The sequence below is a fragment of the Homo sapiens genome, chromosome 4, assembly GCF_000001405.40.
Source record: "Homo sapiens chromosome 4, GRCh38.p14 Primary Assembly".
NCBI lineage: Eukaryota > Metazoa > Chordata > Mammalia > Primates > Hominidae > Homo > Homo sapiens.
In genome coordinates this window covers 183,678,863-183,706,066 of record NC_000004.12, presented here as the reverse complement: position 1 = coordinate 183,706,066, position 27,204 = coordinate 183,678,863, and the positions used below count along the sequence as shown (strand labels likewise).

Below are 27,204 nucleotides of genomic sequence, written 5' to 3'. Positions count from 1 at the left end.
CTGGCAGTTCTGCCATTTTATTTTTCCTAGGATACAAAAACATGGAAGGCTTCATGAATTTGGGTGTCATCCTTGCATAGGGCCGTGCTCATCTCTGCACCAGTCCCATTTACATGTATGCTGTTGAAGTGAGCACTATAAACAGTTTTTTCAAATTATAGACATTAGGATAACCAAACAGTTGATAAAGGGAAGTTTCTCTTGATAAAGTATTTCAGTAAAGAAAGAATGATGGACAGATGTTACCTGCCTCCTGGTGGGAGCACATACACTATGAAGTATTCTTGCCAAAAACTTGACCCTGAATCTGATCAAGCCTACAGACAGGCTGCCAATTTATAGGGACAGAGAAACATTTAAAAACAGCACCATGTAATCTCCAAAATCCAGGTTGTGGGAAACTCTATAGGACAAATGACTTAGTTTCTTCAGCAAGGAAGAGATGCGGGGAGGGAGGAGATGGACAAAGTGGTAGAGAAAGCGGTATTGGAAGAGGTGATGCAGGGGTTAATGGTGGGTGGGGAGAGGAGAGATGGTATGGGGGAGGGAGTAGTAGTCAGCCTAGCTGCCTACCTATAGGTTACAGGATAGTATAAGACTTATCCATCAGTTGCAGTGTATAGTCCTCAAAATAAACTGAAAAAACATCCAGAGTTAACTAGGAAAATTTCAACATTGGAATTTGATGACATTAAGACATTACTGCTAATTTTTAAAGAGGTGATAATGGTACTGTAATTATATTTTTTAAAATAGCCATTATTTTTAAAACAGGCATATGAAAGTATTTATGGCTTTGTATCTAGGGATTTGTTCCAAAATAACAGGGGTAGGAGGAGTGTGTAGAAGTAGAGAGGAAGCAAGACTGGCCATAAGCTACTTTTACAAATGCTGAAAAACTTTCTAAATAGAATGTTAAAATAACTAAACTCTTAGAGGTTAAAATAACTATTATTATTGGGTCCTTCTTATCAAGTAAAATTTGAATTCCGCTACCTGCATTCACATGGAGAGGGATATTCTCCACAATCACGTGCGGCAGAGTGATGACAGTTGTGATGATGGGGATATTCTCCATTGCTGAGGTCCTGTGGCAGAAGAGGTCATCTTTTTAAACTCTTTTTAAACATCTTTTTAAACTATGAAAGAAGTTCATCAAAAACAGGAAACATGTATTCACCAGCTAGTTTCAAAGGAAATGTTACTTATCCATTTCCCAAAATATTATTATTATTATTTTATTATTATTTTTTTGAGACAGAGTCTCACTCTGTTGCCCAGACTGGAGTGCAGTGGCGCGATCTCGGCTCACTGCAAGCTCTGCCTCCCAGGTTTACACCATTCTCCTGCCTCAGCCTCCCGAGTAGCTGGAACTACAGGCGCCCGCCACCACGCCTGGCTAATTTTTTGTATTTTTAGTAGAGACGGGGTTTCACCGTGTTAGCTAGGATGGTCTTGATCTCCTGACCTCGTGATCCGCCCACCTCGGCCTCTCAAAGTGCTGGGATTACAGGCATGCGCCTGGCCAATTTTTTTTTTTTTTTTTTTGAGACAGTCTCACTCTCTCACCCAGGCTGGGCTGCAATGGTGCAACCTTGGCTCACTGCAACCTCCACCTCCTGGGTTCAAGTGATTCTCCTGCCTCAGCCTCCCGAGTAGCTGGGATTACAGGCGCGTGAAGCCACGCCCAGCTAATTTTTGTATTTTTAGCAGAGACGAGGTTCTGCCATGTTGGCCAGGCTGGTCTCAAACTCCTGACCTCAGGTGATCCACCTGCCTCAGCTTCCCAAAGTGCTGGGATTACAGGCGTGAGCCACCGCACCAGGCCTCCCAAAACATTATTAATGGAAATATTTTGTGAAGTTAAGAGCTTTTAAAATCACACTTCTGAGTATTTCCAATTAACAAACTGTTATAACCCAGGGCTGCTGCATGTTACCAGTGGGGGATAAGTGAGGAGGTGTGTCAGACTGTCAATCATGATGCACACGATTTAATACAGTGTTTTGGTAGCAAGACTTTCTCAATTCAGGAACAGTGCAGTGATTTACATCATGACATAAATTCCTTAACTCACTGAGGATGGTTTACAGGTGGGCCCCAGACCACTTTGAAGAGCACTATTGTAACTCACTACACGTATACAGTAGAAACTGAAGAACTAAAAGTATTTTACTATCAACAAACATAGTGGTGTTCCAATATTTATGGAGCTGAAGTAACATTATGAAACTGTTAAATATTTTCCCTGTGGTACAGCTAAAGTGGGAACTATAAGGGTGGTGCCAGGGAAATCCCTTTTGAGCCTAAGGGTGGAGCAGCTGACATGATGTGCAAACTATCACAGAGCAAAAGCAACAGGCAAAGCATCTAAGCCCTCATCAATAAGAAATGAATATACCTCCTGAGCTCCAGCGATCCTCCCACCTAGGTCTATGAAAGTGCTGGGATTACAGGTGTGAGCCACTGTGCCCAGCCCATGAACATTCTTATACACACACCCTTTGTGTACAGATTTAGTTTGGCTAAAATTTCAATAGCATATAAGTCACAAATTATGACAAGCACAAATTCATACTGTAGTATGATGGAATAATTCAGCAGTGCCTTTAAAATGCTATTTTGACACCTACAAACAAAAAAATAAAACTAAACATCAATATGGTAAATTCAGGAATGGGGAAAAGAAAGACAAGTTTATTTACTTCTTAGTAAAATTACATATTTCTCCATTCTTAAAAAGTTTCTGCTTTAGTTTCCAACATGGTAAATATTTATGCATATAACTCACATAAATAAGCTGTTTAGGGTTCTCACTGATTTTTCAAAGTGTAAAGGAGTCTTGAGACCAAAAAGTTTGAGAACTGCTGGCCTACAGTTGTCTTTTTTATTTTCTGCCTTTGTCAGGTTTAGGTATGGGTGCTCTTCATGAACAAACCCAGGGGATTTTCCTTCTTGTTCTATGCTTTGCATATAATTTATAACATGAAAACAATAAGTCATACCATGTAATTACATATACTAAACATATATTCTTTGAAGGCAATTTCATGAATTTCCTCCAGTTACTGGTTTTTTTAGGTTAAAAAATTTTTCCTTTAGTCAATTTTGATAATTTATAACTTTTTCATGACAGCCATAACATTCAGATCTTCCTACTCATTACTCTGAGTTGTATAAACATTCCCTTAAAACTAGTATCTTCTGATTCCTTTCTCATTTTTAAGTAATACATTTTATTCCCTGTTTTAAAATTTCTGAAAATAACTAAGCCTCATCAACAGGATAACACATGAATATCATGTATCTACTTCCCAGTCTAAGAAAGAAATTACAATGATACAATTGAATCTTCCTGCAGAGCCCTTCCTGCTTGTATCCCCCCATCCCAAAGGTAACCACTATCCTGAATTGGGTATTTATCATTCCTATGTATTTTATACTTTTCCAAATTATGTACGTAGTCCTAAGAAATACATAGCATGTTTTTCAATGGCATATAAATGCAATTTATTCATATTCTCATCAGTAGCTTGCTTTGTTCACTTTACCTTAAGATGTTGATGGTGTAGCTCTGGTTCATTCATTTCACTGAAATATAGTATTCCACTGTATGAACGTGCCACAATTTATTCTCTTTTCTATTGATGGGCATTTACGTTTTTTTCCCCCATTTTTTTCCTATTGCAATCAATGCTGCTATGAACTTTTTTTTTTTTTTTTTAAACAGGGTCTCGCTCTGTTGCCCAGGCTAGAGTGCAGTGGCACAATCTCAGCTCACTGAAACCTCCACTTTTTGAGCTCAAGTCATCCTCCCCCCTCAGCCTCCTGAGTAGCTGGGACTGCAGATGTGCATCAACAAGCCAAGCTAATTTTTGTATTTTTTGTAGAGACAGGGTTTCACCATGTTGCCCAGGCTGGTCTCAAACTCCTGAGCTCCAGCGATCCTCCCACCTAGGTCTACGAAAGTGCTGGGATTACAGGTGGGAGCCACTGCGCCCAGCCCATGAACATTCTTATACATACACCCTTTGTGTACAGATTTAGTTTGGCTAAAATTTTAATAGCATATAAGTCACAAATTACGACAAGCACAAATTCAGCTTTAATTATCTTTTTCAGGTTTGTGTTCATATCCACATGACTTCTGCTCTTCAGAATGACAGAAACTCTCAAATATTAAGTGACAAAGATGAATAATAAAGGTATGAGAATAACAGAGACATTGAAGAAAAGACAGGATTGACATAATTCTTACCTTTTCCAAGAGATAATATAATGCCCGGTTGCTACTCCACCTTCAATATTTCCAAGAGATGGGCATTGAAGACAAAAGCATTCACTAGCACTCTCTCCAGTCTGTAAGATAACTACAGGGAAAAGTCTTTATATTCCTTATGCAATGGTTTCATCTACAAAAGGAGAGTTTCACATCCAAGTAACAGAACAAAGAAAGAACACCTCACCCACTATATATTACTTGTAGAGACTTAGAAAGTAGGGTTCAGAGATGTTAAATGACTTTTTCAAGGTCACAAAGTCCACTGTTTTTGCTAATGTACCAATATTCCATCACAGTAAAATCCAATGAGGCATCTGTATATCTGCAAGAAAGTCCTATGGAAACTAATGAATGCAAAAAGCTTAGAGACAGAATCAATATCTTACGGTGATTGTTTTTCTTTTTCCAAATTATTTCATGCCTCCAAAGTAAACACTTTGGGGTAGAGAAAAAGAAAATAGAAAATTTCAGTTACTCTTAAAGTACTCAAAATATCATTCCAGAAAATTGTGGCTTTCTCTGAGTAAACATATACAGGTTGACCATCCCTAATCTAAAAATCTGAAACCAAAATGCTTCAAAATCTGAAATGTTTTGAGTGCCAACATGACACGCAAAGGTTATTCTAAAAGGAAGTGCATCCAGGTGTGGTGGCTCACACCTGTAATCTCACTTACGGAGGCCAAGGTGGGAGGACTGCTTGAGCTCCAGGAGTTTGAGACTCGCCTGAGCAACACAGGGAGATCTCGTCCCTATAAATAATTTAAAAATTAGCCAGGTGTGGTGGCGTGCACCTGTGGTCCTAGCTACTTGGGAGGCTGAGGTGGGAGAATAGCTTGAGCCCAGAAGTCTGAGGCTGCAGTGAGCCATGATCCTGCCACTGCACTCCAGCCTGGGTGACAGAGTGAGACCTTGGCTCCAAAATGAAAATAAATTTTTTTTTAAAAGAGGAAATGTTCTTTAAAGCATTTCAGATTTCAGATTTTTAGATGAGGGATGCTCACCCACTAAGTATAATGCAAATATTCCAAAATCTGAAAAACCCGAAATCTGAAACACTTCTAGTACCAAACACTTCAGGTAAGAGATACTCAGCCTGTATTACTAATAGCACTCATACCGCCTCACTATTGCCTCACATGGCCATTCACCTCTGTGCAAGAATGCTTTCCTTCTGCCAATTTTATAGCAAATTCCCTGATGACAAGATAAGCGCCCATTCAAACCAAGTCTCCTCCACCTTTCAGCTCTCCAGAGCCTGCAATGCCTCAGCTTCAAATGCAAGCAGGCAACAGTACATATTTAACGGCAATTTTAGCAATCTGTGAGTGCAACTCCAAAGGAATAACAACAAAGTTTCTAAACATTAGGCTATTTTTATGGTTTTCTAATGAAGATGGTTGTGACAGATCAATGGAGGTCTGATTGTGGACAGATAACAACAGTGAAAGGGAAAAAAGCTGGATCAACCTTTGCTTTAATTAAGTATTTTTATGTAATGTTAAAGACTTGGAAATGATATTGTAGCCCAGTAAATAAAATACACATCAGTTTGAGCCTCTAGAGATCGTCTTTTAAAAAACCTGGGCCATTCATATTAAACTCTACCAAAGTTCTCCTTAATTGTAAGAAGTTAAATAAAACGGTCACAATGTTTATTAATAATTAACATTGGCTGGGCGTGGTGGCTCACGCTTGTAATCCCAGCACTTTGGGAGGCTGAGATGAGCAGATCACGCGGTCAGGAGATCGAGACCACGGTGAAACCCTGTCTCTACTAAAAATACAAAAATTAGCCGGGCGTGGTGGTGGGTGCCTGTAGTCCCAGCTACTCGGAGAGGCTGAGGCAGGAGAATGGCATGAACCCGGGAGGCAGAGCTTGCAGTAAGCCGAGATCGTGCCACTGCACTCCAGCCTGGGTGACAGAGACTCTGTCTCAAAAAAAAAAAAACCAATTAACATTAGGGTCAATTTGTGACAAAGAAGTGCTACCTGCTGGTTTTGAAGACAGAGGAAGGAGCCACATGAGGAGGAGTGCAGGTGACCTCTAGAAGCTGGAGAAGGCAAAGAAACAGATTTTCCCTGAGAGCCTCCAGAAGGAACGCAACCAGGCTGACACCTTGTTTTTTGGACTTCTAACCTGTAGAACTTTAATACAGTTGAATCTGTGTCATTTTAAGCCACTAACTTTGTGGTAGTTTGTTACAGCAGCAGTAAGAAACTAATATACTAGAAGTTCAAGCCACAGATTATTCCTTAATTTAGTAAACACTTATTAGCTAAGTACTATGATGCTAGCGATATGAAGATGAATAAGACACAACTCAGGTTCTAAGGGAACACACAGTCTAGTAAGGGAGCCATATTTACAAATACGAAATTGCAATATAATATGGTAAGTGTTACAATGTAGGTGTGTACAAAACACCATGGGAATAAAGAAGGAAGAGTACTTAGTCCTGCTTGGGAGGAACAAGAAGTTCAAGTTTACAAGAGCCCTGAAGAGCAAGCCAGAGTTCAACAGGTTGAAAAAGATGAAGGTTTTACACAAAAGTTCCAAAGATATGTTCAAAAGTAGCTGGGGGCAATGTTGGATGAATGCCCTAAGTTTGTCTTGGTTGAAACCTGGGAGAGAGCAAAGGGCAGTAGACAGCCTGGGGTAGAGGCAGCTGGGAAGGTCAGCCAGAGCCTGACCAGGTGAGGTCCAGTGTGTCACAAAGTCTAGTGGCAATATGAAAGGCAGGATAGGGAAGAGAATGACTGCCAAGGAAGAAAACAGTTAAGGACCTACTTCTATAGACCAGGTGAGAGAAATGGTGAGGATGGCACTGAGGATGGAGATGAAAAGCTGGATTAAAAAAATGTTTGGATGTGGGTGTGAAGGATAGATGTGCGTGTGAAGGAGTGTAGTTTTTCTCTGCAGTTTCCAGCTTGGATCAAGTGTACGTACAACAACCCTTACAACCAGACAACCCCTCCAACTGGACGAGGGAATGCAGGCAGCCTAAGGTCGTGTGGCAGCTGAAGACTTGTAGAGAAAGAACAAGAGAACCAACGTCAGGATACTGGAAATGACCAACACTGAAAGAAAAGGAATCAGCAAGAATGGACAAATAACAAGCTTTTATTGAGCTGTTAGAAAATGAGCACTGAGCTATTTCATATGTTCTCATATATATTAATTATTTCACATACATCATCCTCTTTGACTCTAAGAAGTGATGAAAGGAACCATCCAAGTTCATGAAAGAACAAGTTGTAGGGCTGAGAACTGAATCTAGTTCAGTCTGACCCTAAAGCTCATTATTCCCAATTAGCACAATAAGGACAATAAGGAAAAAGGGAAGGAGACAGAAAAACAAAGTAGGACAGAGACAATGATTTCCAAACACACAAGAGAAAACCGAGTTTCAAGGAGAGATGAAAAAAAACTCATGAAGACATTCTGAAAGCAAAAGATATTATTAGTACTTTTTAAAACCAGAAAGGTGTTGTCCTGGATTTGAATCAGTCTTACAAATTGTTTTAGTAGGGTGACTCAGAAAATGTAACTTCTATTTTTCTATATTTTCCAAAGTTTCTTTAATAAATACCTTTTCTCATTTCAAGTTATGAAAAACAGTAAACATTAAGAGTTAATGAGAAAAAAATCTTTAAAAAGTTCAAAAATGAAAAAAAAATTCTTTTTGTGAAGTACATTTTCAAAGTATAACTCCCTTAGAGTAGGAAAAAAGTCTAACCTTTTAAAATCAGGTATACTCAAGCAAATGGTATTATAAATGACACTAATTCCACCTTAATTCCATATGCATTTGCTTTCACGAGTGCAGGTCTCAAGTTCCCTCACTTAGCAAAAAGCTAATTAACTCTTCCATTGCCAGCTTATACACACACACACACACGCGCGCACAATTCTCCTGGTCTTTAAGTGGGAATGAACCAGACTCACCATTGTCCACTTGAGACTCGAGCTGGTCCACTGTGGTCATGGATGGAGCAAGCTGGAGCTCACTGGAAACAATAGTGAGGGCCCAGGGTGAGGCACTTAAGAGGTCCGTCATCAACAGAAAGGGGATGTCAGCATAAACCCTTTCCAGGTGCTCAAACTGTCACAAATGAAGATAAAAGGTCTGTCAGGAATTACCTTAATCCATTTTATCATTTCAGTCCATTTTTATAACCTAAATGATTTCTAGTATGCCTCAAAGAAACATACCTTGGTAGAAACAAATTTAACCGCAACATCAAATGGAAAGACTGTTTCAATTGTTACAGTTTCATCCTGCAAGAAAATGTAAAGGGCACATTCATGGATTTTCTAAATCTTTTTATATAAAGTTTTAAAAAACACAACCTATCACTGATCAATAAATAATCCCAAATTATACATACTAAGAAGTAAAGGCCTTTTAGATAACATTTGTAAAAATCTGTGTCGAGAGAACTGAGTACTAATTTTTTTTTTTTCCTTTGGGAGACAGGGTCTCACTCTGGCAACCAGGATGGAGGACAGTGGCACCATCACAGATCACTGCAGCCTCGAACACCTGGGCTCAAGTGATCCTCCTGAGCAGCTGGGACTACAGGAGCACACTACCACGCCCGGCTACCGTATTTTATGGTTTTAGAGATGGGGTCTTGCTATGTTGCTCAGGCTAGTCTTGAACTCCTAGCCTCAAGTGATCCTCTTGCCTCAGAACCCCAAAGTGCTGGTACTACAGGAGTGAACCACAGCACCTGGCTAAAGTGTTTTCTTATACATTATTTATCTCTGGATCTAATGAAGTGGGCAGGGCAGGCATCATCACCATTTTGCAGAGGAGGAATCAGACGTTCCACAAAGCTAGGGTCTTCCTTTTGTCTAAGTTCCTACTACACCTCAACTCAAAATGACTAATAAGAAAGATAATAATAATGTAATGTGACAGACACTGCTATCATCCGTATACATGTATTATGTAATGTTCATAATCACACAAGGAAACAAGTGCTATTATGATTGCCACTTTAAGATGAGGTCATGGAGCCTACACTCTTAACCAACATGCTACATCTCCTTTCTAAAAGAGTCTGTTAGAAAAACAATGGGGGGGTGGGCATGGTGGCTCACACCTGTAATCCCAGCTTTGGGAGGCTGAGGTGGACAAATTGCTTGAGCTCAGGAGTTCAAGACCAGCCTGAGCAACATGGCACAACCCTGTCTCTACCAAAAATATAAAAAATCTGCTGAGTATGGTGGTGCACACCTGTAGTCCCAGTTACTCGGGAGGCTGAGATGGGTGGATTGCTTGAACCCAGGAGTCGGAGGCTGCAGTGAACCAAGATCGTGCCACTACACTCCAAGCTGGGCAACACAGTGAGACCCCATGTCAAAATAAAAAAATAAAAGAAAGAAGAAAAAAAACCATGGGGTTATTTCATCTTTCAAAACAAATAACACAACCTCTTGGTAAGAAACCTTTAAAAAAGATCATACTGGTTAAAAGCTCAGGCTGTAATGCCAGACAGAGCTGAATTCTAATCCTGGCTCAATACATATTTACTAGCTCTGTGACCTTGAACCTAATGACGTGACCCTGGGAAAGTTATACAGGTTATCTGAAATGCTTGGGGCCAGAAGTGTCTCAGATTTTTTGGATTTTGGAGTATTTGGATTATACTTACTTGTTGAGCATTCCAAGTCCAAAATGCTCCTGGGAGCATTTCCTTTGAGTGTCATGCTGGCACTCAAAAAGTTTCCAAAAGATTTTGGAACGTTTTGGATTTTGAATTTTCAGATTTGGGATGCTCAACTCATGCAGTCTCTTTAAGTCCCAGTTTCATAATCCTCACAGGCTTGTTAGAAAAATCAAATGAGATAATACATATAATGTGCTGAGATTGGCACCCTTATCTCCTAAGCTACCATATAGGACTCTATGTATTATACCAGGCTATGAGAAATTTTCAACAGTACATTACATGCCTTCTTCTCTCCCGCTTGGGAAATACTAATAATTTTGAGATGGTTTTCTTTCCCAATGACTAGTAAATAGCCCACAGCCCAGACTCTGTGCAGTAACAAAACTACAAATCCCCAAATTGCTATAGGCCTTCTCCTCTGCTGGGCTGAGGACCCAATTCCTAAGAGAAAACTAAGACAACATTACTGTCAGGACCAAGAAGATACCAAATATCATAATGTTCTACTAACAAAAGAGAACATAAACATTATATACAGCACAATTGAATCTATTTAGAAACATGGCCTGTTAAAAATCTCTAGAAATAGAAAAGAGACCAATAAGAAACACAAAGAGTTAGCAGTTGCCTTCGAGTTGTGAACTGTAACCGTGATCGTTCCTATTTTCACTTTTATGTGCACTTACCGAAAACAATTTTTACCAATATTTTTTAATAACAGAAAAATGCCTTTCAAAGGGCGACCTCCTTTTCTCCAGAACCCTCTATATGTAAGTCAACTTACAGATTTTATCTCATGTGTGATTTGCTTGAGATCTCAATCCTATTGATCCTCTATACGAAAAGCCATATAGGCCGGGTCCAGTGGATCACGCCTGTAATCCCAGCACTTTGGGAGGCCAAGGTGGGCAGATCACCTGAGGTTGGGAGTTCAAGACCAGCCTGACCAACATGGAGAAACCCCGTATCTACTAAAAATACAAAAAATTAGCTGGGTGTGGTGGTGCATGCCTGTAATCCCAGCTACTCGGGAGGCTGAGGCAGGAGAATCGCTTGAACCCGGGAGGTGGAGGTCGCAGTGAGCCAAGATCGTGCCACTGCACTCCAGCCTGGGCGACAAGGGCAAAACTCCGCCTCAAAAAAAAAAAAAAAAAAAAGAAAAGCCATATAAGCTAATTTTCTGTTTAATGTTTGAGCAGTGAATGCCAGCCTAAACAAATCTCAATATAAGTGATTTTTTAAAAAGTTTAATTAAAATTTATAACAGACTATAAGCACCTAAACTGCTTATTTTATGCTTATTTTATAGGTAAACTAAAATAACACAAAATGGGAATACTCCACATATGATGCTTTATAAAGTAGCTATAAAAAAATACCTTGTGACACTTGCAAACAATTTCTTTTTCTTCAACGGTTGTATTTATCAGGTAAGAAACATATACAAGAAACATTCTGGAACCCACTGTTCCACAGCGAACATACAACATTTTTTCCAGCTGTAACAAAATAAATGTTGTAATTTAATTAGTATTACAGACATTTCTTCTTGATATATATTCTAGGATAATGTTCCCACCTTCTAGAGTTTATTTATACCAACTGGCTAAATTCTTTATCACTTTTACAGAATGTTACAATGTAACTCATCAATGCTCCCACTGTAGTAGAGTACTCTGATTACACTGTGGCCACAGTATAAGGGTGGGATCATTACTACTGCATCTTTTAGAAATTATTGTTCTTTAACTTCCAAAATATTTTTCTATCTAGTTTGGAAGCAGAAGTTGACTGAGAAGTTAACTGCACTAAGTTACAAACAATGGGTATTTTATTAGCCCACTAATTCATGTTAAGCATGTTTTCTAAATTCCCTTGTAGAAAAACTGCTTAAGACATTTTACACATTTACGTATGTAAAATGTGTATGAAATGTTCATTAGTTAAATCACTTTTTCAGTCCTAGAATATGCGTTAAAACGCTCTGAACTGTTAAAAACTCACTATATATTTAAAACTACAAACTAATTGATTTCCTCTTCAATCCCAGTTGACCAAGTTTACCTGTTCCCCTGGATGTAAGTCTCCAACAGGAATGTCAGTGAGTAAAGCCGGGTAGGATTCATCACACAGTTCTGTTCCATGAAGAGTCACGTGAGTCTTCTGAGTTAAATTGGCATCCTGTCCTAAAAGAGTTAATATTGGTTCTTCAAAACAAAGAATTCAAACATTATCCCAATAATCAATACTGTGTGAAGAGCACTATGCCATACCCTCTTGTAAACAAAAGTCCTAGAGTTGACATCACTGATGCTTATTTAATGTTGGATTAATACTGATCAAACTTACAAAAAGGAATGCTTACCTGGTTTTAAGCCAGCGGTGAGCTTCACATCTCTGATTTGGGTCTTTTCATGGGACTGAACAGTCACAACCAAACAATACATTTCATTAGTCAGTGCAGGGGGTTCATGTAGCAGATGTACAGAAATGTTTGGGACTCTGGATATGATCCTTTGAAAAGAAACCTTAGCTAAGTAACTGATCAAAAAAAAAGCAAATAAATTATTCAAATAAAGTATTTAAAAGAAATAAGAGGCTGGGTGCAGAGGCTCAGGCCTGTAATCCCAGCATTTTGGGAGACTGAGGCAGGAGGATCGCTTGAGCCCAGGAGTTTGAAACAAGGCTGGGCAGCATAGTAAGACCCTCATCTCTAGAAAAAATACAAAAATTAGTCAGGCATGGTGGCACCTGGCTGTAGTCCCAACTACTGGGGAAGGCAAGGGTAGCGCCTGAGGTGGGAGGATGGTTTGAGCTCAGGTGGTCAAGGCTACAGTGAGTCGTGATCACACCACTGCACTCCAGCCTGGACAAGAGAGAGACTCTGTCTCCAAAAAAAATAGCAAAAGAAATAAGAGGATGACCTTTAATATCAGCTTAGCAAAGCAGACTTACATTGTGCTTGCCTGAATTATAATGCTGTCCCAGTGAACTTCATTGTCAGGTAGCTTAGGTCGCCTTTTGAAAGACCGAGCTGCCTGTAAGGCTTCTTGGGAGGAAGCAGCATCTCCTCCTCCTCCCTGCCAATTTAAAACCACACATCTTCCCGTCTCATTGCCCAGAGCAAGATCCACTGAAGTAATCTAAAAAGAAAAAAAAGGATGTTGGAAATGTCATCTCATATGTGCTTGTCACCATCTCCTCTCACCAAAATTACATCGTCGACTGCTAAGACCATGGAGTTCATCTAGAGACCCCCAGTGTGACAGAAGTGAGAACACCTGCTATTAGAGGTCTTACTCGGGCTGGGACAGAGACTAACTGCGCTCTGGGTTCCAACTTCTTCACCTTTAAAACAGAGACACTAACCTGACTTTCTGTTGACAGGCTGATTGCACAGTAGTGTTATGATTTTAACATCTGGCATAGTCCCTGATGTAATGAAGGTTCAATTAGTGGTTGCTGAATGAAATAAGTATTGTGATGGCTATGGATACATTATAACCTCATTTCCGACTCCACAAATATTTTTCTCAAAAATATTTACAGTATTAGCAATAAAATGCTTTATTAATTGAATACATGATCTATTCAACTAAAACCATTAACAAAAGGACTCAAAATAGAATTACTAATTATTATTTATGTCTGGTAGGTTCCCTTAGGTACCATGAAAAAATAAAATATGCAATTAGGGCATTTAGTCAAAATCATGAAAGTTTTTTTTTTTTTAATGAATAAGCAAATAATAAAAGCAACATGTTCACAGAAACTGTTATGGGAACACTGGTTGTATAACTTTATATGCCATTTATCTTAGCAATGGTCCCAAGTTTAGATGAGCTAACCATTCCCATTCAAGTCATGAAAAACAAGCACTTAATGAATGCTTACTGTGTGCTAATCACTATTCCAAGCAAGTTACATTAACTAGCTGATTTAATCCTCATGAAATCCTAAGAGATTAGTACTCTTATGATCCCCATTTTACAGATGAATACACTGAGACACAAAGAAGCTAAGTAACTGCCCAGGGCCACAAGCTAATAAGCTAGAGAGCTGTAATTTAAACCCATACAGTTTGGCTCCAGAGTTTATGCTCAATAAAGATATTACTTAGATCCTATATTTCTAAAAGGCATTTCAATTATCTATACTATATCAATCTTTACAAATATATATGTTCATTTTTCTTTAAAAATATGTACTCAGTAATGCTTAAACATCAAAAGATATTCAGTCTGAATAACATAAAAAATATATTTGCTATATTACATAATATACATTATTTAAAACTCCTTAACTGATTATGTGGTCATTAAAAAACAAGATTGGTTTATATACTAACAAGAAATAATATCTAATATACACTATTAAATGACAAAAGCCAGCTACAGTTTATTATGTACAGTATATTCTCAATTTTTTAATTGCAAAAAATTTTAAACTACAAGTATGTTCACAGAAAAATGTCTGAAGGAAACTTCCCAAACTATTATGAATGGTTTCCTTTAGGAAGTCCAAGTAGCAGATTTTCATTTTTTACTTAATCAACTTTTGTATTATTTAAAATATTGATATAAACATACTTTTATTATTAAAAATATTTTAAAACAAATTTCATAACTAACCTCAATTTTCTTTCCCACATCTTCAGTTTTTGCAACAAACTTAAATAACAGTTTTCTTGTTTTGCCAGGAACTAGGCACATCTTTCCTTGAGTCAGATTTTCTAAAACTTCATTTGCTTTGGATGCTTCTTCTATTACACAGAACTGGTTGTATTCCTGAAAAAGGTGAACAGGGGTCATCAAATGTCAGATGTCTGCTAACCCTAAATGCCAAGTGCTTTGGAGCTCATTTAGTATAACTCCACAAACACTGAAGCATTATGAAGGGTTACTAATAAAAGGAAGTATTTTTTATGCCAAATAGAGGCATTTATCCACTTACTGCTGCCATAATATAACAGTTCACTACACATAAACTGTTTTCTGAAAATATTTAGCTATCCCTCTCCCAGAGAAACAGTTTGTTCTTTGTTGCACTGGACACTACTGTTTATCACCTCCTTTTCTTGAAGAGCCTTTTTTTACTTGGCTTCTGTGATGCTATAATCTTTCCTGTTTCTCATCCTGCTTGGTTACTTCCTGTTTTTCCTACCTGGAGTGCAGTGGCATGATCTCGGCTCACTGTAGCCTCAACCTTTTGGACCCAAGGGATAGTCCCACCTCAGCCTCCAAAGTAGCTGGGACCATAGGCATGTACGATCACACTAGACTAATTTTTCTATTTTTTGTAGAGATGGGGTCTCACTACGTTGCCCAAGCTGGTTTCAAACTTCCTGGGCTCAAGTGATCCTCCTGCCTCAGCCTTCAAAAGTGTTGGGATTACAGGTGTGAGCCACCAAGCCCAGCCCCATTCCTTTGCTTTCTTTCAGGTCTTCATTTCTCTCTCTGTTCACTTCATTGGAAATGTATTTGTTTCCACGTTCACCATACCATTGTTGCTAGTATCTCTCACATACAGTTGTCCTATTCTGTCTTATTTCCTTAATTACAAGCTTATATCCACAACTGTCTAGAGGACAAGTCCACTACCACTGAAACTCAGCACGTCCCAAAGTGAATGTGCATCTGCCTTCCCAGAAGAGAACAATCCTCATAGATGAGTAAAGGAAGACAGCTTTCATGTTTCTATCTATGGAATCACTATTCTCATCTGTTCAATAAATATCAAGACCTTTCCAAGAGCCATCTTCTATTCCAGCATATAAATTACCTTCATAGAAATTCTTACACAGTTCAAGTATTATACTTTCCCGCCAATTTTCATTTCTATTCCATGCTTATAAAAACTACTCTACTTTTTTTTTTCTTATGGTTTATATTGTGAATTTCTTTTCTTTTAAGACGGAGTCTCACTCCATCGCCCACTAGAAATGCAATTTCAGCTCACTACAACCTCCGCCTCTCAGGTTCAAGCAATTCTCATGCCTCAGCCTCCCAAGTAGCTGAGACTACAGGCACCCGCCACCACGCTCAGCTAATTTTTGGGTTTTTAGTAGAGATGGGGTTTCACCATGTTGGCCAGGCTGGTCTTGAACTCCTGACCTCCAGTGATCCGCCCACCTTGGCCTCCCAAAGTGCTGGGATTACAGGCGTGAGCCACTGCGCCCCGCCTGTATCTTAAATTTCAAATAAGATATATTCAGAATATAATCTAAATTTTAAAACTAATTGCTTTATATTCCATTTTAGCGTTATTAGTTTTTAATTATAGTAGCTTATATTTTTTGTTGAAAAAAAAAAGGAAAGAAAAGAAATGAAATAGTAGGCTATTAAGGGAAAAGTAAAATAAGAGTCCCCATACTTCACTTGAGCCCAGGAGTTTGAGGCTGAGATGAGTTATGATCACATCACTGCACTCCAGCCTGGGCAACAAAGTATCTCTTTAAAAAAAAAAAAAAAAGAGTCCTTGTGTTGACCCTCTAATTTCATAATGAACAAAACAAACAAACAAAAAAAACCCCTGCCCTTCTGCCCTTGTGGAGCTTAGATTCCAGTAAGGAAAAACAGGTAATTTACCAAATAATCACACAGACAACGGTGAAACCACAGTGTGATTAGTACTACCAAGGCTATGAGAGCCTGGCTAAGTGATTCAGTCATGTAAGTCAGGGGAGGCTTCCCTGAAGAAGTGATGCTTTTAAGTGAGAAAAGGCAAGAAGGAATGAAGTAGTCGGAGAGGAGGGCAAACCAATTCAAGCAGAGGAAAGGGCATGTACAAAACCTCCTGTCCTTCATTCATCCTATCCCCACTTTTCAGCCGCTATATGCACTTGGCAATCCAGATTTATCTATTTTTAAATGCCTCTTATATCCCTGAATCTCCATTCCCAACACCAGCAACTCAATTCCGATACTTGTACTTTTGTACATGGATTAATATAAAGAGCCTCTAATTGGCTTCCATGATATTATTTCTATTTTGCTACTAGAATAAAGTTTCTTAAAACTTTAAGAATAAATTGCATGCTCTTGCTTTAAAATTCTCAAACTGGGCCAGGCATGATGGCTCACACCTGTAATCCCAGCACTTTGGGAGGCTGAGGTGGGTGGGCTCCTTGAGCCCAGCAGTTCAAGACCAGCCTGAGCAACACTCCATCTCTATAAAAAAATACAAAAATTAGCTGGGCATGGTGGCATGTGCCTGTAGTCCCAGCTACTCAGAGGAGGCTGAGGTGGGAGGATCACTTGAGCCTGGGAGACTAAGGCTGCAGTAACTCAAGATGGTGCCACTGCACTCCAGCCTGGGAGATAGAGTGCAGCCTTGTCTCAAAACACACACAAACACACACACACACACGCACACACACTAAAATAAAATTCTCAAACGGATTAGAGGAAATCCCTGGGCAAGGGTCTGAAGTTGAATAGAACATACTGATCTTCAGGTGACCCAGCTTCATCTAATCATTTCTATTACAGAGATATTTCTCTTTTCTTATGAATCAAATCCTAATAAAACAGATAACGTTTCTTTATCACCATCCAATAAATAGAACACAGACAAAAGAACAAATAAATCTTCAAAGACATCTGTTTACTAGCCTATCCCCGCTTAACTCTTCCAGGTTCCTTTAAGCCACCTGGCCTTATTTCCCACCACCCAGCATTATAAACCCTCTGTTCTAGTGAGGTGTGACTTTCCCAGAAACACAGATTGTGCGCTTCTGTTTCCATGCAGTGTTTTCTCATTGCCAAACATGTTCTCCCCCTCCATCTTTTCGACCTATCGTAATTTCATCTTCATTCTTGGAACTCCCTCCCTTTTTTCTGGCATGCCTACTACAGCTGTCCCTCTTTCTAGCCTACACTACGTAATTTAGTCTTCATTACCTATTTGGGCAATCTTTGATTCTGTCCTGGCCCTTGTCCCCAAAATGCCTAAATTTTAATGAGGTCGACATATGCTATACTCAGATTCAGCATGTTAAGAATATCGTAACTCTCAATAAATGCTTGTTGGTGAAAGACTCACTATACTTTCTGGGTAATCAAAAGATGATTATCTACTAAGTGAGTTTATAATAGAGTTGTAATGAAGTACTTGACTATATACTATATAATGCTTCAAATATATTCAAATGCAGGAAATATGATCCCAATTCTGCAAGAAAAAAAGTTGCTTATATATTCATGTGCAGAAAATGTCTAGGTTATTCAAGAAGTTAACGTAGAGGGTGTGTGGGAGAATGGAGAAGAAAGAAGACACACATTTACTTTTCACATTATATCCATCTATTCCATTTCAATTTTTTAAATGTCAAACATAAATTAGTTCCATAATCATAAACTAATAACATTAACTAATAATGTTGAAGTAAAATATAAACCAAATGTTTTTTTAATTCTATTCATTCTGAATATACCTTATTTGGAATTCAAGTATACATTATAAAAAAAATTTAAGGCCAGATGTGATGCCTCACACCTGTAATCCTAGCACTTTGGGAGGCTGAGGTTGGTGGATCACTGGAGCCCAGGAGTTCAAGACCAGCTTGGGCAACACAGCAAAACCCTGTCTCTACAAAAAATACAAAAGTTAGCCAGACGTGGTGGCAGGTGCCTGTAGTTCCAGCTACTTAGGGGGCTAAGGTGGGAGTCCAAAAGGTTGAGGCTACAGTGAGCTATGATTGCACCAATGCACTCTAGCCTGGGCAACAGAGCGAGACCCCGTCTCAAAAAAGACAGAAAAAAAAAGTATATATATACTATATGTGTACATATATATATATATACACACACACACAGAGAATTCTTAAGACTTTATAAACATGGAGTGAAAACAAAAATTGGAGTAAGCAAAGTGTAAACTTGAATTGCTAGAAGTTTAGAAACATATATATATATATATTTTTTGACACAGATCTTGCTCTGTCACCAGGCTGGAGTGCAGTGGCACGATCTCAGCTCACTGCAACCTCCATCTCCCGAGTTCAAGTGATTCTCCTGCCTCAGCCTCCCAAGTAGCTGGGACTACAGGCACGTGCCACCACACCCAGCAGATTTTTTTGTATTTTTAGTAGAGACGGGGTTTCACCATGTTGGCCAGGCTGGTCTCGATCTCTTGACCTTGTGATCTGCCTGCCTCGGCCTCCCAAAGTGCTGAGATTACAGGCGTGAGCCACTGTGCCCGGCCCTGGAGATATATTTTTGAATAGACCTTACCAAAGTTCATTTGTTACTATGAAACCATTAAGACATAAAATTCACTAAGCTCATTTTATCTAGTTTAACATAAGCTACAATAAGATAAACGTGGTAAAAACACATGACATGGCATCATTACCTGATTATTAAAGCTGACACAGAGCTTGGAAAACCTAATGGGATGTGGACAATCAGCCTTCAGATAAATATCAAACTGAACAGGAACATCAACATGAAAACTTGGGGCATGAAACTTGGCTTTGCACTGCACTAGAAATAAAACAAAAGGGCTGTGTTATGCACAACCAGATACCCACGACCCACACACATCCTGTTAACCAAATTGATTCTTCAGAAAGACACATCTGCACTGACCATTCTTACTGACTTCTGCACTTAAGGCACTTCAAGAGACAAATGAGCTAACTTTTTATTATAAAAATAAAATTTAGGCTGAGCACAGTGGCTCACGCCTGTAATCCCAACACTTGGGGAGGCCAAGCCAGGCGGATCACTTGAGGTCAGGAGTTTGAGACCAGCCTGGCCAACACGGTGAAACCTTATCTATACTAAAAATACAAAAATTAGCCGGGCATGGTGGTGTGCACCTATAATCCCAGCTACTAGGGAGGCTGAGGCACAAGAATCACTTGAACCCAGGAGGTGGAGGTTGTGGTAAACGGAGGTCGCAGCATTGCCCTCCAGCCTAGGTGACAGAGCAAGGCTCTATCTCAAAAAGAATAATAAATAGGCCAGGCATGGTAGCTCGTGCCTGTAATCCCAGCACTTTGGGAGGCTCAGGCGGGTGCATCACCTAAGGTCAGAAGTTCAAGACCAGCCTGGCCAACATGGTGACACCCCATCTCTGCTAAAAATACAAAAATTAGCTAGGCATGGTAGTACACGCCCATAAGTAATCTCAGCTAGTCAGGAGGCTGAGGGAGGAGAATCGCTTGAACCTGGGAGGAAGAGGTTGCAGTGAGCTGAGATCATGCCACTGCACTCCAGCCTGGGTGGCAGAGTGAGACCCTGTCTCGAAAAAGAAAAATAAAATAAATGAACAAATAAATAATATAAAATAAAATTTAAATAAATTACAGCTTCAAAACCATCTTTAATTTTAAAAACACAGCTGCTCCTGAAATGTAGATGACAAGATTTTAAATGAAAAAGAACCATTTTATTATTATTTCAAAATACCTACCTAGACAGTAAAGCACAACCTTTTAAATAACTGTCAGGTGTTTCTAATAACACCTGAACTACAAATGAGCAAAGTGTATTTTAAAACATAAGTCAAGTATTTAAGATCCTAACTACCTTTGTAAGTCACTGAGGGGACACAAAAAAAAATCAGTTTATCTATAACATGATTATACTTTGAAAACTCTTTCTTGACTTTTATATTTATTATTCTGCACCTATTCATTTTGTAGAAATAAGACAATTTCTCTGAAATAGTACTGTAGATGTTAGCTACCTACCAAATGGCACAAAGTCCTGTACTCCTATTGTGAAAATATTGCTGCCAGCCAGAGAAATTCGGTCTGCCCACAGCTTCTGAGCAGTTTTCACAGCTAAGATATCACAGTCGGGTTCTGGATCAGGACTTTCATTCTGCATCAACACAGAGTTAACATCCATTCAACTAGTTGAATAAAAACCACTACTTGGATTAGTTGATATAGATATAAGTACACATATTCCTAATAACACACTCTATATAAACAATTCCAACCTACCATTAAAACATTTATGAGGTTCTTTTCTATCCGAGACTTCTGGTCATCTTTCAGAGTTGAAGCTAGTATGAAGAAAGAAGGAAAAACATTTTAAGTACTTATAATTAAGTCTACTACCCCCATTTATTGTTTTAGAAACTTGATATAATAATAAATACCTCTTTAAGATGACTAAGCACAGTGATTTGCACATAGTAAAGTATACTAATTATCTGGGACTAAATTATTCTTTAAATTTTAAAAAGCTTAAAGATGCTAAATAATTTTATGTATCAAGAATTTTACTCAAAAAACATCAGGTTACCTCTACCAAGGAGTTCTAGGGAGTAAGTAATGTAATCCTTTAATTGGGCCATGAGGTAGGAGCACTTCAGAGCTGTAGTTAATACAGAAGTGAGCAGAGTCCACCATCCTTCACTCCGATAATCACACATCACATAATCCAGCAACCTCAAAGAAGACAAAATGTAATACTGAACCGGCTTCACAAGAAAGGGTTCGAAGAGTTCATGGAGAAAAAAATACTTTCCTCATTTTATGTAAGTATAGAAAAATCTTACTGAGATGGTTGAACAGGTATTCTCATATTTAGCTAAACGTGAGATTTCTTAAAACACTGAAAAAGATTGTGCCATCAATAGCACTTGAAAAAAACATTACAGAAATGGAGTTTAACAACAATAGAAATAAATATGAAAATACGAACTCCTTCAACACTGATTTCTATTTCAGTTTCACTTCAGATAATCCAAATACTTGTAAAAGTAAATAGTGAACAGGACTCACTTCAAAGCTTTGGTATAATCCTTTGCGTAATAATATTCCTCTCCCATCTGAACCACTATAAAGGAAAAAAAGATTTATGTATGTAACTTAAAGTCATTCAAAGTTGCATGCAATGGTGACGTTTGTGGATACATACTTAGGTGACTTTTCATTCGCGGGCACTTATACTTCTTGAACTGTGCAACAGCATTGCTCAGAAGAGTTATGATTATCTCCTATTAGAAAAAGTAGAGTGTGAAACATTTCAATACAAATATTTTTCTTAAATAGTGTAAAAAATAGTTTATATTGGACACAAAACTTACAGAGTGAACAACATTTCTCTCCTTCAGCTGAATGGCAAGAATTCCCACCTTTTCTTTTTCAGGATCAGAAAGATCAAAACCTGCGTAAGATGAGACACAACTCATTTTAGACAGCTCATTTAATATAAATCTTCATATGAACGTTGTATGTGTACACTCCTTGAAACCTTTATTTAATATAATCATTTCAGACTCTTCAACATTCTAGAATCGTAAAGGTGCTAAGAGGCAGCTTTATTAACATGGAAACTTCCGTGTTCTGTTCTGATGGGAACATTATTGAGCTCAATGTTCTTCTACCTACTGGAATCAACGATCTGAAAAGCAATGTCAATATCATCCTCTATAGAGGATACACTTGCTGGAGATAATCATTTCCTTTTTTTCTTTTTTTGAGACGGGATCTCACTCTGTTGCCCAGGCTGGAGTGCAGCGGTACAATCACAGCTCACTGCGCATCAACCTCCTAGGCTCAAGCGATCATCCCATCTCAGCCTCCCAAGTAGCTGGGACTACAGGCACATGCCACTATGTGTGGCTAATTTTTGTATTTTTTTGTAGAGATGGGTTCTCACTATGTTGCCCAGGCTGGTCTCAAACTCCTGGCCTCAAGCAATCCTCCCACCTTGGCCTCCCAAAGCGCTGGGATTACAGGCATGAGCCACCTCGCCTAGCCAGTAATTTAACAGTTATAGTTCAATTGCTTGAATTAAATTACGTATAAAGTATTAAAAAATATGCAGAGAAATTGTTTTTAAGGTAATATGAGTTAATGCTGTTTTAAAATGTCAAATCAATTGTTAAAAGTTAACTGGAATTAAAATATTTAAATAAGACAACAGTGGCATGTGTCATTTAAAACAACAGATGTCCAAATGTTGTATTTTTTTTTTTTTTTTGAGATGAGGTCTCACTATGCTGCCCAGGCTGGAGTGCAGTGGCTGTTCACAGGTGTGATCCTTCCACCTCAGTCTCCCAAGTAGCTGGGACTACAGGCATGTGCCACCACACCCAGATACATGTTTTAATCACAACAGCAACTTTAATTATAAGTCACTCTAAGATGCAGTGATACATACAAAGCATTCTAAAAACAAAAACAATGTTTAAAAAGCACACATTTTTACTTCAACATAATTTCTTATGCATGTGCAGCCAATGGAAAATCTATTATAGCTATTGTTGCCTTTTGAGGTTGAGAGGAAAGGACAGAGGGAAAAATTATTTACTTAGTATTCCTTGTCGCCATGATCTTTGTCCATAAAAGTCAAGAACGCCTGTTTGTGTTTCTAAGGGATCAGGATTGGGATACATTACAGAAGCCTGTAAATTAAAACACAAACCTAAATAATAGTTTATGGAACTCATCGCAAATCAACTCTTGCCCAACCTTTGACTGAACAAAAAAGTTTTCATAAATACAACCACCAAATATATATTCAATTATCAAATTTGTGAATATTTTAACATAAATTTTAACAAAAATTAAGCTAAAAATGTTTCATATTTAGGTAGTCTCATAAAAATCAATCTGATTCTGACAAATGATTTCACAGTAATTTCTTCACTTTTTTAATCTTTGCTCTAATAAACCAGTAAAAATATATTACAAATTATGCTCTATATTTATTCCGCATGCATACATGCTCTTTGTGTAAATGAAAACAATGTTACAAGGAGTTCTACAAAGAAGACACTATTTTCCTTCTTTATCACTTCTGTATTAAATCTTGCTATTGTGGGGGAATATTTTTGGCACCAGAACTGACAGATTTACAGTGCTTTTTCTTCTTTTTAACTTTTCCCTCTGAAACCAAAACGTAATACATGAAAAATGCAGAAAACATCCAAAAGGATGAAAATCTAAATTACTTATAAACCTACTACCAACTCCCACTGTTAAGAATGTATGTTATCATTCTTCCAGATTTCACATGCACAAATTTGTTAATGATTAATTTTCAACCTCCTTCTTTCATTTAAATATATTCTGTATATTTAATCCAGCATTAAATGTTCTTCTAAAACATTATTTTTCATGGCTGCTTACTAGTGCATATTTTAACAAATTCCCTATAGCTATTCATCTTATTTCTATTTTACAATTAATTAATAAATCTGTGAGAACAACTTTATAAATAAATTTTGGTACTTATTTCAGAATTTATTAGCTGCCTTAGTTATCTCCAAAAATTAAATTCTAGGTCAAAAGATATGCACAGTTTTAAAGCTTCTCAAATTATTATTTGATGGAAATTTTATTTTACTTTTTTTTTCTTTTTGAGACAGAGTTGTCGCCCAGGCTGGAGTGCACTGGCACGATCTCGGCTCGCTGCAAGCCCCGCCTCCCAGGTTCACGCCATTCTCCTGCCTCAGCCTCCCCAGTAGCTGGGACTACAGGCCCCCGCCACCACACCCGGCTAATTTTTTGTATTTTTAGTAGAGACGGGGTTTCATCGTGTTAGCCAGGATGGTCTCGATCTCCTGACCTTGTGATCTGCCCACCTCAGCCTCCCAAAGTGCTGGGATTACAGGCGTGAGCCACCGCACCCGGCCCATTAATTTACATTTTAACCAATGATATTTATTAATGCCCAGTTCCTTACATTCTTATAAAACCTAGTTTTAGTCACTTTTTAAAATACTGTGTTCAAAATTACAATATGCCAAACTTTAGAAATATAATACACACAATAAAATTACAAATCATACAAATAGCATGGCAAAAACAGCTAAATCATCATTTTAGAGAAAAAAATCCATTCATTTTAAGTACTAATATACAATCTATTCGTTTTTGGAACAGTTTTAAAAATAGTACTACTGATAATATTCACTCATCTTCAGAGAAGAGAACTGCAGGTTTTAAGTGAAAATAAACTACTGTAACAATATAAATATAAATATATTTATATATATATACCACGTTCTTATTTTAAAGGTGTTTATAAGAAAACTGATATCTAAATGTAATCTTCCAAGAAAAAGGCAAACTGAAACATCAAGAAACTATGCAATGAACACTACTCCTCAAACAGACTCTTAAGAGTCTCTACACAGGAGGCCAGGCGCGGTGGCTCACGCCTGTAATTCCAGCACTTTGGAAGGCCAAGGCGGGCAGATCACCTGAGATCAGGAGTTTGAGACCAGCCTGGCCAACGTGGCGAAACCCCATCTCTACTAAAAGTACAAAAATTAGCCAGGCGTGGTGGCGGGCGCCTGTAATCCCAGCTACTCAGGAGATTGTGGCAGGAGCATCACTTGAACCCAAGAGATGAAGAGATGGAGGATGCAGTAAGCCGAGACTGCACCACTGCACTCTAGCCTGGGCAACAAGAGACAGACTCCATCTCCAAAAAAAAAAAAAAAAAAAAAGAGTCTCCATACAGGAAAACCCCAGGAAGAGAAAGAAGTCAAAATTTATCCTCTCCAGTGGGTCAAAACAGATTTCCAAACTTTTACAGCAGTGATCATAGAAACAAAACAATGGATTTATAGTGTGACAAGGATGAAAATGTGGCTTTTAAAGTAATTTTCTCTTGTCTAAATAGTCACTAACTTACTGCCAAAAATTAGTTCTTCAAAGAAAAACTTCTGCTCAATTCACAGGTGAAAACAGAGTACTCAGGCTAAAACCAAAGATCAATGTAATTCCTAAAGCTATAAAAAATAAAAACTAATTAAATTTAAAGACTTGGAAAAAATTATCAACACCAATCAGTTCTAGCTTCTTTCAAAAGAAGAATAACTTTTCTATGTGCTAGATAATACGGAGTGAGTAACTTACTTCGTGGTTACAGAGGGTTTTTGCAAGCTGTTTCCGCTCCTGGGCATAGTATGCTGCCTGCTGGTAATAGAAACCAGGATTCTGAGTTTGAATAGCTGTTAACCCTAACTTAATAGCTTCATCAAATAAATCTCCAAAGGCCTGGAATCTTAAAGAAAAGAAAATCAAGAAATAAAGAGGAATGAAAAGAAAAAGAAGCTTATTTCTGGTAATTCATCCTGGGAAACTTAACCTCAGCAGACTGTGTTAAAATGGTGCTATTGATGAACAGTTAATATTTGTTCTAATTTCTTTGTAAATATTAATACACACTAACTGTAGGTTACAGATAGGTTCTATATTTAAGTCATCTCTTCTAACAAGTCTTTATAAATATACCATCAAACTAGATCTCAACATAGTTCCTACCACTCAAATAAATACACCCAAGTTTCTGGGAACAATTTCATTTTAGCAATTTTTAAACTTCATTCTCAAACAGTGAGCTCCATGACAGCAGGAATTTTGTTTACTGCTATATCCCCAGGACCTAGACATATGGTAGAGACTCAATAAATATATGCTGAATGAAAAAGATGGTACCATGAATTAAATAATTCCCATTAAGGAACTGTATACAATATCAATGTACAATATTACCAGAAACATACTTATGCTACATCATCAAAAACCTACTTAGTGACAAAAAACCTGGTTCAGTTTTAGAACCAAAGTCCATGCTATTTCTCCAAATACTATGTATCATTTTTAAAAAATTCTAAAAGGACAATGTAAAACATACTGTTTAGACATCCATGCATCATGCTCAAAAGACAGCTCTGCACTTCCAATCTTTTTCTTACACAAGTCGATGTGTTTTCGGAACTGAGCAATTGCATCCAATGGGGTGTTGTGTTGAAAACACAGCCTACAGATCTGCAAAATGTAAAATTGATCCCAAAATAAAGGAAAAAAAGAAAGTCAAAAGACATATTCATTTAAAAACTATTTTGAGAATAACATTAGAAAAAGACAATGAAATTTCCTTCTCTGAAGCTCTTTGCAATACAATTAATTTTCCTCATCAGAATGGTTATGCTAAAACCAAAGGTTATATATCCCTTTTAGAAATGAAATAAAATAACTCACTATTTGTACATAATTTATTCTACACTTTAGAAAAGCTTTTAAAAAATATGGAACAGAATTTAAAAATTATCCCCAATGAAGAACATGGACTAAAATAAACTATGTCCAACAGGTAATTGAGATAAGATAGATCAATTTTCAGTTTTAGACTTGTCATAAAGCTAAAGATTTTCTGTAGCATAATTAAAGCAAAGTTACCTCCATATCAAACAAGTATTACAGAAATTCTTGAAAATTTTGTGGCTGGCATGCTATTTCAAAATAGTACTAATATGTA

At 37.9% G+C, this 27,204-nt stretch overlaps 1 protein-coding gene and 1 pseudogene across 5 annotated transcripts in view, besides 1 other annotated feature; both read right to left on the bottom strand.

The window, feature by feature from the left end:
- Positions 1-27,204, bottom strand: part of TRAPPC11 (trafficking protein particle complex subunit 11) — a 54,297-nt gene that overhangs the window by 7,523 nt on the left and 19,570 nt on the right. For all 5 annotated transcript variants that reach the window (XM_024454180.2, NM_021942.6, NM_199053.3 and 2 more), the window contains 19 exons: positions 26,581-26,714; positions 25,800-25,947; positions 23,242-23,335; positions 22,013-22,092; positions 21,844-21,922; positions 21,708-21,762; positions 21,226-21,371; positions 20,922-20,983; positions 20,664-20,796; positions 19,319-19,449; positions 14,596-14,751; positions 12,920-13,107; positions 12,330-12,478; positions 12,029-12,150; positions 11,344-11,463; positions 8,499-8,564; positions 8,232-8,388; positions 4,259-4,370; positions 997-1,088 (listed from right to left, as the gene is read on the bottom strand). In XM_024454180.2, the coding sequence (XP_024309948.1) occupies positions 997-1,088; positions 4,259-4,370; positions 8,232-8,388; positions 8,499-8,564; positions 11,344-11,463; positions 12,029-12,150; positions 12,330-12,478; positions 12,920-13,107; positions 14,596-14,751; positions 19,319-19,449; positions 20,664-20,796; positions 20,922-20,983; positions 21,226-21,371; positions 21,708-21,762; positions 21,844-21,922; positions 22,013-22,092; positions 23,242-23,335; positions 25,800-25,947; positions 26,581-26,714 (2,224 nt within the window). The remainder of the gene's footprint in view (positions 1-996; positions 1,089-4,258; positions 4,371-8,231; positions 8,389-8,498; positions 8,565-11,343; positions 11,464-12,028; positions 12,151-12,329; positions 12,479-12,919; positions 13,108-14,595; positions 14,752-19,318; positions 19,450-20,663; positions 20,797-20,921; positions 20,984-21,225; positions 21,372-21,707; positions 21,763-21,843; positions 21,923-22,012; positions 22,093-23,241; positions 23,336-25,799; positions 25,948-26,580; positions 26,715-27,204) is intronic.
- On the bottom strand, positions 36-136 carry RNU6-1053P (RNA, U6 small nuclear 1053, pseudogene; annotated as a pseudogene).
- Positions 11,655-12,854: an enhancer, noted in NCBI's record as "BRD4-independent group 4 enhancer chr4:184614366-184615565 (GRCh37/hg19 assembly coordinates)". NCBI's record gives its function as "activates an origin of replication core promoter dependent on BRD2, P300/CBP, MED14 and CDK7 cofactors, and independent of BRD4, by STARR-seq in HCT116 cells {active_cell/tissue: HCT116}" and the evidence as "EXISTENCE:reporter gene assay evidence [ECO:0000049][PMID:35650434]".